The 15,495-nt window shown below is 50.5% G+C and overlaps 2 protein-coding genes across 12 annotated transcripts, besides 7 other annotated features; one reads left to right on the top strand and one right to left on the bottom strand.

Annotated features, from left to right (window-relative positions):
• CCDC51 (coiled-coil domain containing 51) lies at positions 1-14,480 on the top strand. 9 transcript variants are annotated; one of them, XM_011534113.3, is made up of 5 exons: positions 1-394; positions 5,791-5,976; positions 11,638-11,836; positions 12,782-12,946; positions 13,487-14,480. In XM_011534113.3, the coding sequence occupies exons 2-5, from the start codon at positions 5,804-5,806 to the stop codon at positions 14,243-14,245; spliced, it is 1,296 nt and encodes a 431-aa protein (XP_011532415.1). In that variant the 5' UTR covers positions 1-394; positions 5,791-5,803; the 3' UTR covers positions 14,246-14,480. The 9 variants fall into 9 exon arrangements, with proteins under 9 accessions (XP_011532415.1, XP_047304894.1, NP_001243898.1 ...); XM_047448938.1 differs by lacking the exon at positions 1-394 and having other exon boundaries at positions 3,666-5,976; NM_001256969.3 differs by lacking the exons at positions 1-394; positions 5,791-5,976 and adding an exon at positions 6,534-6,557 and having other exon boundaries at positions 11,643-11,836.
• TMA7 (translation machinery associated 7 homolog) lies at positions 2,445-6,396 on the bottom strand. 3 transcript variants are annotated; one of them, NR_137639.2, is made up of 4 exons: positions 6,341-6,396; positions 6,195-6,250; positions 6,025-6,108; positions 2,445-2,805 (listed from the first exon to the last, which is right to left on the bottom strand). NR_137639.2 is itself a non-coding variant. In NM_015933.6 (4 exons), exons 1-4 carry the CDS (start codon positions 6,354-6,356, stop codon positions 2,771-2,773), a joined length of 195 nt encoding a protein of 64 aa, NP_057017.1. In that variant the 5' UTR covers positions 6,357-6,396; the 3' UTR covers positions 2,445-2,770. The 3 variants fall into 3 exon arrangements, 2 of the variants coding, with proteins under 2 accessions (NP_057017.1, NP_001316346.1); NM_015933.6 differs by having other exon boundaries at positions 6,025-6,112; NM_001329417.2 differs by having other exon boundaries at positions 2,445-2,799; positions 6,025-6,112.
• Positions 6,099-6,158: a silencer, noted in NCBI's record as "silent region_14330". NCBI's record gives its function as "represses an Ori minimal core promoter by ATAC-STARR-seq in GM12878 lymphoblastoid cells {active_cell/tissue: GM12878}" and the evidence as "EXISTENCE:reporter gene assay evidence [ECO:0000049][PMID:35858748]".
• Positions 6,589-6,728: an enhancer, noted in NCBI's record as "active region_19828". NCBI's record gives its function as "activates an Ori minimal core promoter by ATAC-STARR-seq in GM12878 lymphoblastoid cells {active_cell/tissue: GM12878}" and the evidence as "EXISTENCE:reporter gene assay evidence [ECO:0000049][PMID:35858748]".
• Positions 8,664-8,713: a silencer, noted in NCBI's record as "silent region_14329". NCBI's record gives its function as "represses an Ori minimal core promoter by ATAC-STARR-seq in GM12878 lymphoblastoid cells {active_cell/tissue: GM12878}" and the evidence as "EXISTENCE:reporter gene assay evidence [ECO:0000049][PMID:35858748]".
• Positions 10,442-10,541: a silencer, noted in NCBI's record as "silent region_14328". NCBI's record gives its function as "represses an Ori minimal core promoter by ATAC-STARR-seq in GM12878 lymphoblastoid cells {active_cell/tissue: GM12878}" and the evidence as "EXISTENCE:reporter gene assay evidence [ECO:0000049][PMID:35858748]".
• Positions 11,028-11,870: an enhancer, noted in NCBI's record as "H3K27ac-H3K4me1 hESC enhancer chr3:48476193-48477035 (GRCh37/hg19 assembly coordinates)". NCBI's record gives its function as "activates a minimal SCP1, AML or CMV promoter by ChIP-STARR-seq in naive H9 embryonic stem cells {active_cell/tissue: H9 hESC(naive)}" and the evidence as "EXISTENCE:reporter gene assay evidence [ECO:0000049][PMID:30033119]".
• Positions 13,067-14,266: an enhancer, noted in NCBI's record as "MED14-independent group 3 enhancer chr3:48473797-48474996 (GRCh37/hg19 assembly coordinates)". NCBI's record gives its function as "activates an origin of replication core promoter dependent on BRD2, BRD4, P300/CBP and CDK7 cofactors, and independent of MED14, by STARR-seq in HCT116 cells {active_cell/tissue: HCT116}" and the evidence as "EXISTENCE:reporter gene assay evidence [ECO:0000049][PMID:35650434]".
• Positions 13,901-13,950: an enhancer, noted in NCBI's record as "active region_19827". NCBI's record gives its function as "activates an Ori minimal core promoter by ATAC-STARR-seq in GM12878 lymphoblastoid cells {active_cell/tissue: GM12878}" and the evidence as "EXISTENCE:reporter gene assay evidence [ECO:0000049][PMID:35858748]".
• Positions 14,481-15,495: the final 1,015 nt, after the last annotated feature.

Below are 15,495 nucleotides of genomic sequence, written 5' to 3'. Positions count from 1 at the left end.
GGCCCCGCCCGGTGTTTAGAGGTCCACGGGCGGGATTCGGCAGGTTTGCTGCAAGGACTCAGTGCGGCGCGACCCGTTACCGGAGAGGCGGGCCGGAGGCGCACCAGCTCCGCCGCGCTGGTGGCTTTGCGCTCCCTCCCTGGCATTCCGTGGAGGAGGGCCGCGCAGGAGCAGCCTGCCCTAGCATTCACGCGTGTTGCGTTTGAGTCGAGCCAGGCATCATTCAGGGATGTGGTCTCCGTGACCTCGCTTTCCTTCTGCCGCCAGACCCACCTCCCACAAACCCCTAGGCTTTCTTGAGGAGAGTGGAATTTGTTGGGTGAGGAGTATGAATAGAGCTGTCGTGTGCAGACATCTTCGGGTTTAGTGAATGTTTCACATGTGTACATTTGAGGTAGGCCCAGGGAGGAGGAAAGTCCAAGGAGGAATGATGTTTGGAGCTGTTCTTGTGTGGGAGGGGGTGGGAGCTGCTCAGGCTGTTAACATCCATTCCTCTGAGTGCTGGACTGTTTTTTTTTCCTAAGCTCTGGTTGTATAGAATAGGGCTCAGGAGGTCAAGGAAGTCCCCCTGTAAATGGCACCTGCGCTGTCCTACAAGTTGAGTCAAGTTAGCAGGATAGAGGGGTAGGAGGCTGGCACATAAGACTAACACGAGAATTCTACATTGAAAGGGAGGCCACACAAAGGCCAGGTAAGAGTTACCGGTGGCGAACAGAGGTAAAGCTTCACAAAGGAGCAGCAATTTGAGGTGGGCTTGCGTGCCTGACAGATTTTATTGGGCAGCTGTGGTGTGCAGAAGTTAGCCGCAATAGAGAATTTGGCAATGGAGAGTAACAGGAGCAAGACTCTTTCAGCCTTACCTGCTCAGTGCCAAACTTCACCTGTGAGTGTCCTAGGAATATTTGTGAAAGCATTAAATGAAAAGAGTAAATGAAAAAGAGAGTGCTATCAGGGCCTATAATGTCTAAGGAGTTTAAAATTTTTTGGAGCAACTGGTAGTCTCCGTCAGATAGCTTCCCAAGTGTTGCATGCTTAATTGCTGCAGGACTCTGGTCCTGGAAAGAGACAGGACTGTTCATTTGTTAAAGAGGGATAGGTTCCACCAAGTAACTTGCTTTCAGGAACAGTGTGAATCACTGGTGCTCAGGTTTGTTTTAGCAGCATACGGCTGGGTGCCAGCTAGCAAGGCCCCACAGGGAATGCCTGAAGCCTACTGAAGGGTGCTACTGGCTGTGCAACTTTCTGGAGAGGACCAACACAGGCTTCCCCCTGCCCCCTCTCCCGCGTTAATATCTAGTACATTAATCATGAAAGTTTTCAATATTCTAAAACCTAGTTTTGATTTAGCAGTCTCATAATGGTTCCAGAGCGCTCTTCGACAATATTCTCAGAGAAAGCTGAGCATTATTAACATAATTGTATTAAGGGCCTGGGAGGGAAATCCAAATACTTGTGCTTCTGAATTAATTTTTTTTTTTTAAATACAGGGTCTTGTTCTGTCTCCCAGGCTGGAGTGCAGTGGTGTGATCTTGGCTCACTGCAGCCTCGAACTCCTGGGCTCAAGTGATCCTCCCACCTCAGCCTCCCAAATGGCTGGGACTACAGAAGTGCACCACCACACCCAGCTAAGCATTTTAAAACATATTCAGCACACATTATGGATGGTCTCTGTCTTTGCATTTATTGAGGGGCAAGCGGTAGGTATGCCTGGGACTCCAGTCCTGGGCAGCAGGAGGTAGAGTGAGCCCCCATTTTGCCTCACCCCCAACCCCTTGCCTGGCACTGGCACCCCCTCCATCCACCAGCAAGTGGGCTGGGGCTTCCCGCAGCTGCTGCCCTGGACCTGTTTGGTGCGCATGGGGACTTCACTGCTAGCAACTTGAAGGATCATGTAATTTGCCCTGCCCTGCCTCTTCCACAGTAGAGAAGTTCCTTGACAACAGGAACTGTTCCGTTACATACCCCAGTGCCTGCATATAGCAGACGCCTTACATGAACAGATGAACAAGTCTCATCAAAATATACGGCAATTTGGATGTGACAACATAAAGATGGGTTTTCTTTTAAAAGCACAAATTCTGGTCAGGCACAGTGGCTCATGCCTGTAATCCCAGCACTTTGGGAGGCTGAAGCAGGCAGATCACTTGAGGTCAGGAGTTTGAGACCAGCCTGGCCAACATGGTGAAACCCCTCTCTACTAAAAATACAAAAAATTAGCTAGGCATGGTGGCGGGTGCCTGTAACCACAGCTACTTGGGAGGCCAAAGCAGGAGAATAGTTTGAACCCGGGAGGTGGAGGTTGCATTGAGCAGAGATCATGCCACTGCACTCCAGCCTGGGTGAGAGTGAGACTCCACCCCCTCCCCCACCAAAAAAAAGTGCAAATTCTTCCACTAAACTCATGTAAGGTATTCTGTCAGGTATACAACCACACAAGAACGCCATCCTTTCAAATGAGTTGGTTTAATTTCAGGTGATACAAAGTTTAGGGTAGAACAAGGACCAAAGAACAGACTCTGGCAAGATTCTGAGCTGGTTTTACTTTAAATTCACAGTTATGGTAGGAACGACTTAGTGAAAACAACTAAAGAGATGATGAGCCACTGTAAGATTTTTCTTTTTTTACAAAAGTTTATTCTTAAATGTACAACAGCTCCAAGACAACACTTAATTCCAGCTATACGTGGCAAAAGATGTTATGGCAGGGAATAGAGAGGTTTAAATACAGATGAAATAAAGGGTCACCATCTCCTCAGGCACAAGGAACAGCTTACTTTTTGCCAGATTTCTTAATTCCACCTGTGGCTGCAAAAGAAAAATAGTCACAATTAGGGAAAAATATAGTTCTTACGGTAGAAGCCCCACGGGCCTGCTGTGGACCTTAGTAAAGCCTGGCTTTTGTATTGGGCATTCACTTTAACACAAGCATGGATAGCAGCTTCACTGATACTGTCTGTTCTAGGTAAAGGTAAAATGAGGATGAGATGGAGTACAAGCAGTGGCTGGCTGTGCACTGGTCTAGATCTACACTTCTGTATACTTCACAGATTGGCTTATTTAATCCTCATGCCATATCAACCCATTTTACAGAAAAAGAAGTCCTTTTTTTTTTTTTTTCTGAGATGGAATCTTGCTCTGTCGCCCAGGCTGCAGTGCAGTGGCACGATCTCAGCTCACTGCAACCTCTGCCTCCCAGGTTGAAGCAATTCTCCTGTCTCAGCCTTCCGAGCAGCTGGGACCACAAGCCCTGGCTAATTTTTGTATTTTTAGTGGAGACGGGGCTCACCATATTGGTCAGGCTGGTCTCGAACTCCTGACCTCAGGTGATCTGCCTGCCTCAGATTCCCAAAATGATGGGATTACAGGTGTGAGCCACCGACCCCAGCATTTTTTTTTTTTTTTTTTTTTTTTGGAGATGGAGTCTTGCTTTGTCACCTAGGCTGGACTGCGGTGGTGCAATTTTGGCTCACTGCAGCCTCCGCCTCCCAGGTTCAAGTGATTCTTCATGCATGAGCCTTCCGAGTAGCTGGGACTAAAGGCGCATGCCACCATACCCGGCTAATTTTTGTATTTTTAGTAGAGATGGGGTTTGACCATGTTGGCCAGGCAGGTCTCGAACTCCAGACCTCAAGTGGTCCACCCACCTCAGCCTCCCAAAGTGCTGGGATTACAGTCTTGAGCCACCATGCCCAGCCAAAAAAGAAGTCTTATTGTTAGGTGTTGTTCAAGTATGTGACAAGCCAGGATCCCAACCTGAGTCATCTGACTTCAAAGTCCACATTCTTAACTGCCATGTTACACTACCTTCCATATTATGATCCTGGCACCTGGTATACTCTGTCAATTTACAAATGACCATATATGTGGAACGCAGTAGGCGATTTAAGAAACAGCATAGGATTGGGCCAGGCGCGGTGGCTCACGCCTGTAATCCCAGCACTTTGGGAGGTGGAGGCGGGTGGATCACGAGGTCAGGAGATCGAGACCATCCTGGCCAACATGGTGAAACCCCGTCTCTACTAAAAATACAAAAATTAGCCGGGCATGGTGGTGTGCGCCTGTAATCCCAGCTACTCAGGAGGCTGAGGCAGGAGAATCACTTGAACCTGGGAGGCGGAGGCTGCAGTGAGCTGAGATCATGCCACTGCACTCCAGCCTGGGCGACAGAGTGAGACTATTTAAAAAAAAAAAAAAAAAAAAGTGTAGGGTTACATATGCCTAATACAGGAAAGAAGATCCAAAGGGGCCTGACAAAATAAACCTTAAAATAAAAATCAGATGATGCTCAATGAGAAACAACTAGCATAGAGTTACACTAAAGACTGTTCTTTCCCCTATACACAATCACAGATTAAAAGAGGGTGCAAGATACCTTTTTTTTTTTTTTTTTTTGAGATAGGGTCTCATTCTATCTCCCAGGCTGGAATACAGTGGCGCAATCCCAGCTCACTACAGCCTGAACTCCCGTGCTCAAATAATCCTCTTACCTTGAACTCCTGGGCTTAAGCGAGGCTGCCTCAGCCTTTTAAATAGCTGGGATTACAGGAAACGGGCCGCCACCACCACCACGCCCAGCTAATTTTAAATTTTTTCTGTAGACAGGGTCTCCCTTTGATGCTGTGAACTCCTAGCCTTAAATAATCCTCCTGCTTAGGCCTCCCAAAGCACTTGGATTATGGTCAGCCCATTCTGTGCCTGGCCCCTTACACCATTCTGAAAAGGAATCTCAAGAGCTAGAAATCTCAGTGCTGGGTAGGTAAACAATAATGGATCAAACCCACTGGGAGAGAGGTCTTGGGAAGCCCTAGATGACACTCCCACCATCCTTGTCTCCATCATGCCTAGCATGGCTCACAGTGCTCAAATGGGGGCATAAACAACTGTGGAGGAAATAATCACTAGTTGGATCAATGTAAAATAATGCTTATGATGCACATAAAGTACTAGAACTGCTGGGCCTGAAAAATATTTTGAAATGTAATGAATTTCTCCTACATAAAAGATGTAAAAAAGGTGGAGGATTCAGTTAGAAAAGCATATGGAGCAACAGCACACTGAAGAGCCTGGACTTTATCTTTTAGTCTAGGCATACCCAGAAGTAAAAAGACTCAGAAAGCAAAAAAGCATATATTAGAGATAATATAAGCAGTACGAAAAAAAAAAAAAAGTTGGCCAGGTGCTGTGGCTCACGCTTGTAATCCGAGCACTCTGGGAGGCAGAGGCGGGTGAATCACTTGAAGTCAGGAGTTCGAGACCAGCTTGGCCAACATGGTGAAACTCCGTCTCTACTATAAATACAAAAAAAAACTGGCCAGGTGCGGTGGCTCACGCCTGCAATCCCAGCACTTTGGGAGGCTGAGGCGGGTGGATCACGAGGTCAGGAGTTCAAGACCAGCCTGGCTAAGATGGTGAAACCCCATCTCTACTAAAAATACAAAAATTAGCCGCACTCCGTCTCAAAAAAAAAAAATTAGCCAGGCGTGGTGCCAGGCGCCTGTAATCCCAGCTACTTGGGAGGCTGAGGCAGGAGAATTGCTTGAACCCGGAAGGTGGAGGTTGCAGTGAGCCGGGATCACGCCACTGCACTCCAGCCTGGGAGACAGAGTGAGACTCTGTCTCAAACAAAACAAAACAAAACAAAAAAACTTCTAAGTCAAGTAAGGTTCAAACACTAGAAGGCAGTGAAATACGAATTTGGGGCAAAAGATTGCGGACGACGTCAGACTTTGAGAAACTTAACTGTGAATCTGCGTCTGAGGTAAATACATTTCACTGTTTCCGTTTCTGCAGCTCTTCCTAAGGAATGGAAGCCCAGACTGCCTGGGAGGCAGGAGACCTCGTTTCCAGCTCCCGGCCCTTACTGCCGCTGCAAATCCTAGACTGGCTAGAGACCATTCGCTGCAGCGGACGTCGGAAAACGAGACCTCGCAGTTCAGGAGGCAGGAAAAAGACATGCCCGCGCCCTCATCCCAATAGGTGCTCATAGCGTTTGGCCAGCTTGAGCTCCATTCGGCCCCCACTTACCCAAGGGCCCCTTCCCCGCGGCCTTCGCTTTTAGCTCCTCGAGTTTCTTCTGCTCCTCTTTTTGTTTCTGCTTGAAAGCCTTATCTTCCTGGGGAGAGGCAGAGCGTGTTCAACTCAGGCCTGTCTCCCAGCGCCCCCGCACCCGCCAGTGCCTCCGCGCCCGCCCTCACCTCGTCCATCTCCTTGGCCTGCTTCTTGGGCTGTTTCAGTGGCTTCTTCTTGCCACCTGTGGGCGACACGAGCACGTTCGGCCTGCCCCTGCCGCCCGGTCCCCACCCCGCCGTCCCCGCAGTCCTCACGGTTCCGGAACACTTACCTTCGCGGCCGGACATGGCGCCTGCCGCCGCTTCCCCAGACCCTGCCACCGGAAACGGAGCGTCTGCCCCACCCTTTGTCGTAGACAGCGAGGCGGCCCCGCTGATTGGCTCCTAGTCAGGAAGTTGAACTCTCGCTACCGGATGCGGCGCTCCAGGGGCGGGTACTAACAGGTCAGAGGTCAACTGAGTGGCAGACGATTGGTCGGGCCACGCCAGGTACGAGGAGCTAGGGTTGTCCTGCCAGGGTAGAATCGGAACCGTAGGAGGGGTACTTAACCGGACGGCCTACCAGGCCTGTGGCCGTGCGCGGGAAGAGCACTGCAGGTAGACAGCAGGGCATGTGCATGTGCAAAGAGCTTCAAGCTCGTCGCTTTCCTGGAACCAAGGAAAGCACAGCTTGGGTGGAGGGAGATTAGGCGGGGAGATGGCAGAAGTGGACGGGAGTTATATCACGTGGTCCTATAGCTTTGGAAAACCCTGTAAGGAGTTTTATAATATAGTCAGGGGTGCAGCAGTTTGCGAATTCTGTTTGTTCATCTATGAAAATGGTCAAAAAAATTTATTTTGGTGATGGCCATACAACTCTGTTAATATAGTAAAACTACTGAATTGTACACATTGGGTGAATTATATGGTATGCAAGTTATATATCAATAAAGCTTTTTTTTCTTTTCCCCCCGAGATGGAGTCTTGCTCTTGTCTCTCAGGCTGGAGTGCAATGGCACGATCTTGGCTCACTGCAACCTCTGCTTCCTGGGTTCAAGCGATTCTCATGCCTCAGCCTCCCCAGTAGCTGGGATTACAAGTGCCCGCCACCATGTCCGGAAAATTTTTGTATTTTTAGTAGAGACGGGGTTTCGCCATGTTGGCCAGGCTGGTCTCGAACTCCTGACCTCGTGATCCCCCCGCCTCAGCCTCCCAAAGTGTTGGGATTACAGGCGTGAGCCACCGCACCCAGCCAAAGTTGTTATTTTTTTAAATAACAGTGCTGAGCGCTGGGATGCTACAGTGTCCAGAGATTAGGCAGATGAGTACATTTTTTGCTGGGTACGTACTATATGTAGGTACCAAGCTGAAATTCTAGTGAGTGAGACAGACTATAACCAAAGCAAATAAATGGGATACATGTTGCAGGTCATGTGATATATGCATGGAAAAAATAAAGCAGAGAAAGTGGGTCAGGAGTGCTAGGGTGGGAGTGGGATGGCCATATCTGATAGGGTGCATGGGGAAGACCTCCCAAGGGGCTACTATTTGAGCAGGACTTGAAGAAGGTGAGGGAGCGAGCAGCACAGATAGCAGCTGTCGTGAAGGCCCTGAGCTGGGGACAACTTGGTGCGTTCCAGCAACTTCAAGAAGGTCCATGTGCTTGGAGTGGAGTGAGGAAAGGGAGACTAGTGGGAGATGAGGTCAGAGAGGAATGAGAGCCAGTGGGTAGGTTCCCTGTAGGCCATGGAAAAGACAGGCTTTTACCTTGAGAGAAGTGGGGAACCATTGTAGAGGTTGAGCAGAGAGACAATGGTTCCACCTGTGTTTGGAAAGGAACACTGACTGCTCGACTGACAATAAATTGTAGGGGCTGGAATAGAAGCAGGGTGACATCTGTCAGGAGGCTCTTGGGATAATCCAGGCTAGAGATGTGATGTGGGTCACTGGGACCATTTGGTAGCAGTGGCAGAGGTGAGAGGAGGAGGGATCCTGGATTTGGAAAGCCAGGGGCATTTGCTGATAGATGGATGTGAGGTGGGAGAGAAATGAGGAATCAGGGGTGATGCGAGGTTGTTGATCTGAATATTTGAACTTGGTATTGCTGTCATCCATGATGGAGAAGGCTATGGGAAAAAAAGGTTTGGGAGGGGAAGATGAGATCCCCATTAGATTTTCAGGCAGAGATATAGGTTGGGAAGTTTGATAAATGAGCCTAGAACCCTGGGGAGAGAGGTCTGCGCTGGAGGAGTCAAGAGTATAGTTCTGTTTTTTTTTTAAAAAAACAACTTTATTGATATATAACTTGCATACCATGTAATTCATGCAATGTGTACAATTCAGTGGTTTTATTATATTCACAAAGTTGTATGGCCATCACCAAAATAAATTTTTTTGACCATTTTCATAGATGATTTTTAAAACCACAGGACTGGATAAGAGAGGAGTCTGAGTGCCGAGTGCCGGGGTGCTACAGTTTCCAGAGGTTAGGCAGATGAGTGGGGACTGGAAACCGAGTGAAAAATGGCATGTGAAGGAGGAGCAGGTGAAGGCCAGATCAGAGGGAGCTGGACGGAATCAGAGAAGAGGAACAGAAACAGTGAATTCAGGCAGTCTGTCAAGGAGTTTGGTTATAAAGGAAACCAAAGAAATGGGGCAGTTGCTGGTGGGGGGGTGTCAGATCAATTACTGAGTAATGTCTCAGGAGGAGAGAGGATTTGGGACCTGGGGCACAGGTTGGTTTTCCCTAGAAGCATGGGTTTTTTATCCTGAGGATCAAGAGAGGAGGTGGAAATGGGGCAGTTACTGATGGTTGGGAAGGTATGGTGGGAGTTTGTGGAAGTTCTCTTCCAACTTTTTATTATTTTCTTGATGGAAAATGAAGCAAGCAGACCATCAGCTGGAAGTGAAGATGAGGAACAGATGATAGAGGCTTGAGGAAGGGGCAGTTGGTAGGAGACAGCCATCTACATAGAGCGGGAGAATGGATCTGAAGGGGCAGGATTCCGAACTTGACCCTCAGGGCCCTGCTTCACCTATCCAGCCTCTCCATCCACTCTTCTCTGCTTTTGCTTTCCAGTTGCACTGACTGCCTTTCAGGTTTTGGGCGACCTCAAGCACTTTCCACCTTTTCTCTTTGCCAGGAACATTCTTCTCCTTGCTGGTTGGGGGGCCTGTGAAACATCTAAGTGGTGACATCCTGGGGGCTGAGAAACAGGGCCCAGGGTTGGGGGCTGGTGGGATGGTGGAGAGGCTGAGGGGAGGGACTGGAGTGGAGAAACAACTCCAGTTGCCACATGGGAATTATTGCCACATTCCCTTATGAAGTCTGTTGTCACCCAGCTTATGTTCTAGTGAGAGAATAGGCAACACATAAGGAAATATATCCATCAGGAGAAAAATAAAGCAGAGAAGGTAGCTGGGGAGGGAGTGGTCAAGGAAGCCTTACTGAGAGGTGATATTTGGGCAAAGATGAAGATGTCGGGGTGAGCCGAGTAGACTCGTGGAGGAAGAGTCATCCAGCTGGACAAGGTGGCAGGGCACAGACCAGCACGGTGGCTGGAGCAGAGTATGGCAGTAGAAGGAAGAGGATGAGGGCTGAGAGGTCTCAGGATTTCTTGGCCACCGCCAGGTGAAATGGGAGCTGTTGGGGGATTTTGATCAGAGGGATGTAATCTGATTTTTGTGTTACAGGGCCTTGGGCTGCCATGTGCAGAACATGGGGGTGGGGGACGGCAGGGGAGAAAGCCGAGATTGCATAGGAGACAGTAGCTGTCATCTCTGCCAGGAATGGGTGACTTTGCTGGGGTCTAAAAATGGGCAGCTAGTAGAGGAGGTGCTGGGAAAGGAGGCTGAGAAGGTTGGAGGAAGCCAAGAGGGGCAGTGATGTTGGGAAGAGAGGGTGTTGAAAGTGGTGCCAGCCATGGCGGACACTGCATGCTTTGTCTGATGAAGGATACACCTGCAGGGGTGTTATAGGATCTCAGCCTGTGTGTCATGGGTGCTGGCCTTGAGGCCTGGGAGTCTGACTGGGCTGCTGGGGCCTGGATGGTATGCACCCTCATGGGCATGGAACCCAGCCTTATGAAGGGGGCCCAGGGGTTTGGGTGTGGCACCAGCTTGGGATCACTGTCACAGTGAAGTTCCCTTCTGCGGCTCTCAGCTCAGGCCCACTTTGCCCAGAAGACATGTTTCTACCCAACCAGCTGTGTTTTCAAAGCCGCTGAGCTTCTCCAAAGACAGTTCTTAGCACAGCATGATGGAGAGGAGGCTAGGGTGCTGTGGGGAGCCTCTGTCTCATATCACCTTCCATCAGGAAGCCCCTTTCTATTCTGTATCTGGAGCTCCTTCAGTTCCTTCCTGTCTGCAGCTCCCTCTGCTTTTCTCTCTGTGGCGTGGTCTGTTGGCCACCAGGTGTCGCTCTCACAGCCAGGATCAGTGCTTAGGGACTTTGAGGTGTGGTTTGGCCAGAGGAGGGTGCTGTTGGCTCAGCTTTTTCTGGGAAAATGGGTCACCTGGCCACCTCTTTGGGGTCCTCAGAGTCACTGGCACTCTTGGGCTCAGGTGAGGCCTGATTCTGGATAACAGGAGACTCCCTGCTGTCCAGGTAATGAGAAGCAGGCCCAAACATCAAAGCAAGATGGAAAAGGGAAAGATGAGAGAAACCTAACCTGTTGAGCAATGGCAGGTTGGAGAGGAAAGAGAAAGCTTATGGAAGTCGTGAAGTGTGAGACTGAGAGTTGGTAGCCTGGAAAGTCTGGGGGCGGAGTTGTATGGCGTGAACCTAAGAAAAGTCCTCTGTGGCAAAAACAGTTTTGTTTTGTTTTTTTTTGCCCCTGGAATTATCTTAGAGGAGAGCTGAGAGTTTTCTGTCTTGGGTCACAAATGGCCTGTGTCCTTAGGTCCTTGCACAGAATTGAAACTCTGCTTCCCTTGTGCTGAGGCAGTCCTTGGAGAGTCTGGGGAGTTGGTTTTGAGGCTGTTTTACAGAAATGATCCTGGATCTTAGTCTTCCTGAATTCCCCTGAGTTCCACAACATTGCAGGGAGTATTTATGCGTCTTTGTGGGGCTTTGTCAGCATGTGTACAAGTCTGGTTTAAAAACTGTCTTTGACATCAGAAACCTGGGCACCAGGATTCTCATTCAAGTCACAGCAGAGAGACCTGGAGGATGTAGGGAAGTGGGTAGCAGGGAAGGGTCCGCTTTGTGTGGCATGGTGGCGGGCACTGGAAGGTATGGCATCCTAGAGGCTCGTCCCCAACTGTGTTCCATTGTCCAAGAGCACCCAGAGGAGAGCCTGACCATCCTCTTGCCACAGGGGCCACAGTCTCTGGGCCCAACAGGGTGGTGCTCAGTTTAGATGATTTGAGTGGGGATTAGTCTGTTCAGAACTGTCCCTAGGCCTCAAAACTGACTTATGTCCAGCCTTTCTCAGCTGTGAGCTGACCTGTCTGGCGTCCCCCTCACAGATCTCAGGATGATGGGGCGCAGCCCTGGGTTTGCCATGCAGCACATCGTGGGTGTGCCCCACGTACTGGTTCGGAGGGGCCTCCTTGGAAGGGACCTCTTCATGACCAGGACTCTCTGCAGCCCAGGCCCAAGCCAGCCCGGAGAGAAAAGACCTGAGGAGGTGGCCCTGGGGCTGCACCACCGCCTCCCAGCACTGGGAAGAGCCCTGGGGCACAGCATTCAGCAACGAGCGACCTCCACAGCCAAGACTTGGTGGGACAGATATGAAGAGTTTGTTGGACTCAACGAGGTTCGAGAGGCCCAGGGAAAGGTGACAGAGGTGAGGAGGGGAGCTGGGGTGGCTGGCCCCGCCCTCTGACTTGGGAAATGTGCCAAACCAGTCACGTGGTGCTGGGTAGCCACATCCAGACTTGTGTTTAGCCTCATTTCTCACGTGGAAACCTGGGCTTGATGCTTCTGGGGTGAAGGTCTCCATGTAACTGTGCCACCTACTTTCCCCGAAAACAGTTACTGTGTACCAGTAAGTCCCTGGCCACTAACATCCACTCTGTGAGGCCAGCAAATACTTCCTTTGTGGACCATTTGGGGATTGATGGTGAGAGTTACGTGGGGCTTGCTGCGGTACTGTTACTGTGTGTAATTACAACATCTTTTGTGAAGATAGAGGGCACTAGGAAATGTCACAGTGTGAGGTGGAAAGAGCTGGTGGTGGTTGTCAAGTCCTTTGTGGTGGCAGAAATGCATTCTGTCATCTCTGTTCCCACTCCTGCTTAGGCATGTAGTAGTGTAGCGTGGTGGGAAGAACCTGGGGTTCAGCTGGGACTTTGAGACAAACAGTGCCATCTCTTTCCTTGGAGATTGTGAGCTTGGCTGAGCTGGTGTTTCTGGGTTTATAAACTGGAGGCCACAGCAGTGCCTTTCATGGCATTGTTATAAGGCATAAATAAGGCAACACACGGGAAACAGCCTACCAACACAGGTTTGATGGACACAAATTGTGTGCATTGTTAGCTGTTTTCAAGTTTTTTCAGGGGCATGTTATTTCTGCTTGAATGGCTAAATCTCGTGATTCTGATGGGTGTGGCCCAAGGCTGCACTTTGAGCACCACTGGGTGAGCCAGGATTAGTGTCTAAGGAATTCCGTTTCCACCCTTTGCAGCTCACACCCCAGTGACCTCTTCTGGGAATGCCTTGCTGGGAATGCAGCTGAGCCTGTGTGGGTGTGGAGAGAAGGTGCAGATGGCCTCCGGTTTTCTCTTTGCAGGCTGAGAAAGTGTTCATGGTGGCTCGAGGGCTTGTCCGAGAGGCTCGGGAGGACTTGGAAGTTCACCAGGCCAAGCTGAAGGAGGTGAGGGACCGCTTGGACCGTGTCTCCAGGGAGGACAGTCAGTACTTGGAACTGGCTACTCTCGAGCACAGGATGCTGCAGGTAGGCACCTCAGGAGGCAGCCCTTTCGCACCTGGACAGTGACCCTAGCCTGGCAGATCATGGAGGGGCCGGGTGGGAACCCTGACTGGTCTGTAGTCAGAGGCCTGGTACAGAGGTGAGCCAGAAGCTCCTATGGATGGACAGAACCCCAAGCTTCCAGAGTCTATCCATATACTTTCTTCTGGAGTACTGGGGCCAACTCTTCAGGGCAGCGTAGCCTGGGACTCAGAATGCTGAGGAAGGAGAACTATGGAGGGGCTGGCCTAGGGAGTGCTGGACACTTCCCTTTGTGTAGACATAAGTGCACCTCTGGTCAAACCCAGAACTGCTCAGGTGGGACGATCATGCAACTCACTTTGATCACTCCCAATTCCTTTGCCCTTCTGACCCAGCCAGGTTGGTGCTACCTTCATTCATTCAGCATGGGTCTATGGAACATGTACTCTGCCAGGCACAAGGTAGTGAGCCATCTGCTGGTGGCTATAGCTGCAGGGCCACCTTGTGCCCATGTAATCCAATAACATGGCTTTGCTTCTGCAGGAGGAGAAGAGGCTTCGCACAGCCTATCTGCGTGCAGAAGACTCTGAGCGAGAGAAGTTCTCCCTCTTCTCTGCAGCTGTGCGGGAAAGTCATGAGAAGGAGCGCACAAGGGCTGAGAGGACCAAGAACTGGTCCCTCATTGGCTCAGTCCTGGGGGCCCTGATTGGTGTGGCTGGCTCCACCTATGTGAACCGTGTGCGACTACAGGAGCTGAAGGCTTTACTCCTGGAGGCGCAGAAGGGGCCTGTGAGTCTCCAAGAGGCCATTCGAGAACAGGCGTCTAGCTACTCCCGCCAGCAGAGGGACCTCCACAATCTCATGGTGGACCTGAGGGGCCTGGTACATGCTGCTGGGCCAGGGCAGGACTCTGGGTCACAGGCAGGTAGTCCCCCGACCAGAGACAGAGATGTAGATGTCCTTTCAGCTGCCTTGAAAGAGCAGCTTAGTCATTCCAGGCAAGTCCATTCATGTCTAGAAGGCTTACGAGAGCAGCTTGATGGCCTAGAAAAGACTTGTAGCCAAATGGCTGGGGTGGTTCAGCTTGTAAAGTCTGCAGCACACCCAGGCCTGGTGGAACCAGCAGACGGGGCTATGCCCAGCTTCTTGCTGGAGCAGGGGAGCATGATCTTGGCACTGTCAGACACGGAGCAGAGACTAGAAGCCCAAGTCAACAGGAACACCATCTATAGCACCCTGGTCACCTGTGTGACATTTGTGGCCACACTGCCTGTGCTCTACATGCTATTCAAAGCCAGCTAACCCCTGGCCCCTCCTCCAGAGGGTCTGAGGCAATAGCTGTGAATGTGGATTTAAGTAGAGAATCGTAGCAATGAAGCGAGCCTTTGGGGGCATGTACAACCTCAATCTGAAGGAGCAGTATCTGTGTGGCTCACCAGCAGGCATGCTTCGCTTTGTAGACAAGGTTCATTTACATTAATTATCAAAACTTTGTGCTAATGTCCAATTAAAATATCCTGAGTTTTATTATTTAAAACAATCAGACTGAGTTTTTTTCATTAAGAATCAAGATCCAAGACTTGAAGGTTGGGCCTGGAGTTGGGGTAGTCACCCCCTTTAGTTCCTCTCTCATCTCCTCTCTGTCCTCTTTTCTGAACTGTTATGGATGCACTCCTGAGGCCTAGATTTTCATTTTGGATTTCCTCCAGTTACCTGACTGTCCGGTGTCAGATGGCCTGGGAGTTCCAGTGAGTGGAACCTAGCCTGCTGCCTACTCATTTCGTGACCATGGTTGCTTCCCATCTCCTGGATCACTTTCTCTACCATGTGGGGGAGAACTTCCTGGTTCTAGTACTGGAGGAGTGATCAGAGGAGAGCAGGGAAGGGAGATTGGGAGAATGGTTGATAAATGTTGCTGGGGACATAAGTATAGGGATTGGTGGCCAGTCTGGATCCCTGGTACAGAGATTGCTTTGGGCAGCAGTGGTGTGCCACGGGGGCTGGGTGCACACCCCCACACAGCCCGGGGATATCTTCCACAGGCATAGGCAGAGCTCAGGACACCGGGAGTGTGCATGGAGAGGCAGTGATAGGGAGGGGGGGGTCTCCCACAGGTGGGAGGTGCAGTGGGGCATATGTATGATCTCTTTTCAGAGGGGAACAGTGACCCTTGACCTTGACTAAATGGCCATGGGTGGCCTTGTGTGCCCTGAGTAAACAGGAGCTTTGGGCTGGTATTCAGTCCTGGTGTTGGAGTATTGGAAGTCAGGCACATTCCAGAGAACCCACTCCCCTTTGAGAGCGCAGGGTAGCTATATGCAGGGGGGCCGCAGGTGGGGACTCGTTCACTGGTGCCTGTGCAGAGCTCTCAGAGCCTGTGGAGTCAGGAGTGTTTCCCATAAGGCATACTTTCTTCTTGGAGCCTGTGTTCAGTCTTGGGCAGTGAGCATGGCCCAAATGCCCCCCACCCCAGGTTCTCAGCACCTGGTCCCTCAGTCAATCTATCCTTGGCGAGTAATGGCTCCCCAGAATGGCATGGGATGGAAAGACCC

This window comes from Homo sapiens, chromosome 3 (genome assembly GCF_000001405.40).
Source record: "Homo sapiens chromosome 3, GRCh38.p14 Primary Assembly".
Classification (NCBI taxonomy): Eukaryota; Metazoa; Chordata; class Mammalia; order Primates; family Hominidae; genus Homo; species Homo sapiens.
Note: the sequence above shows the minus strand (reverse complement) of the source record. Positions and strands in the feature narration are given on the sequence as shown.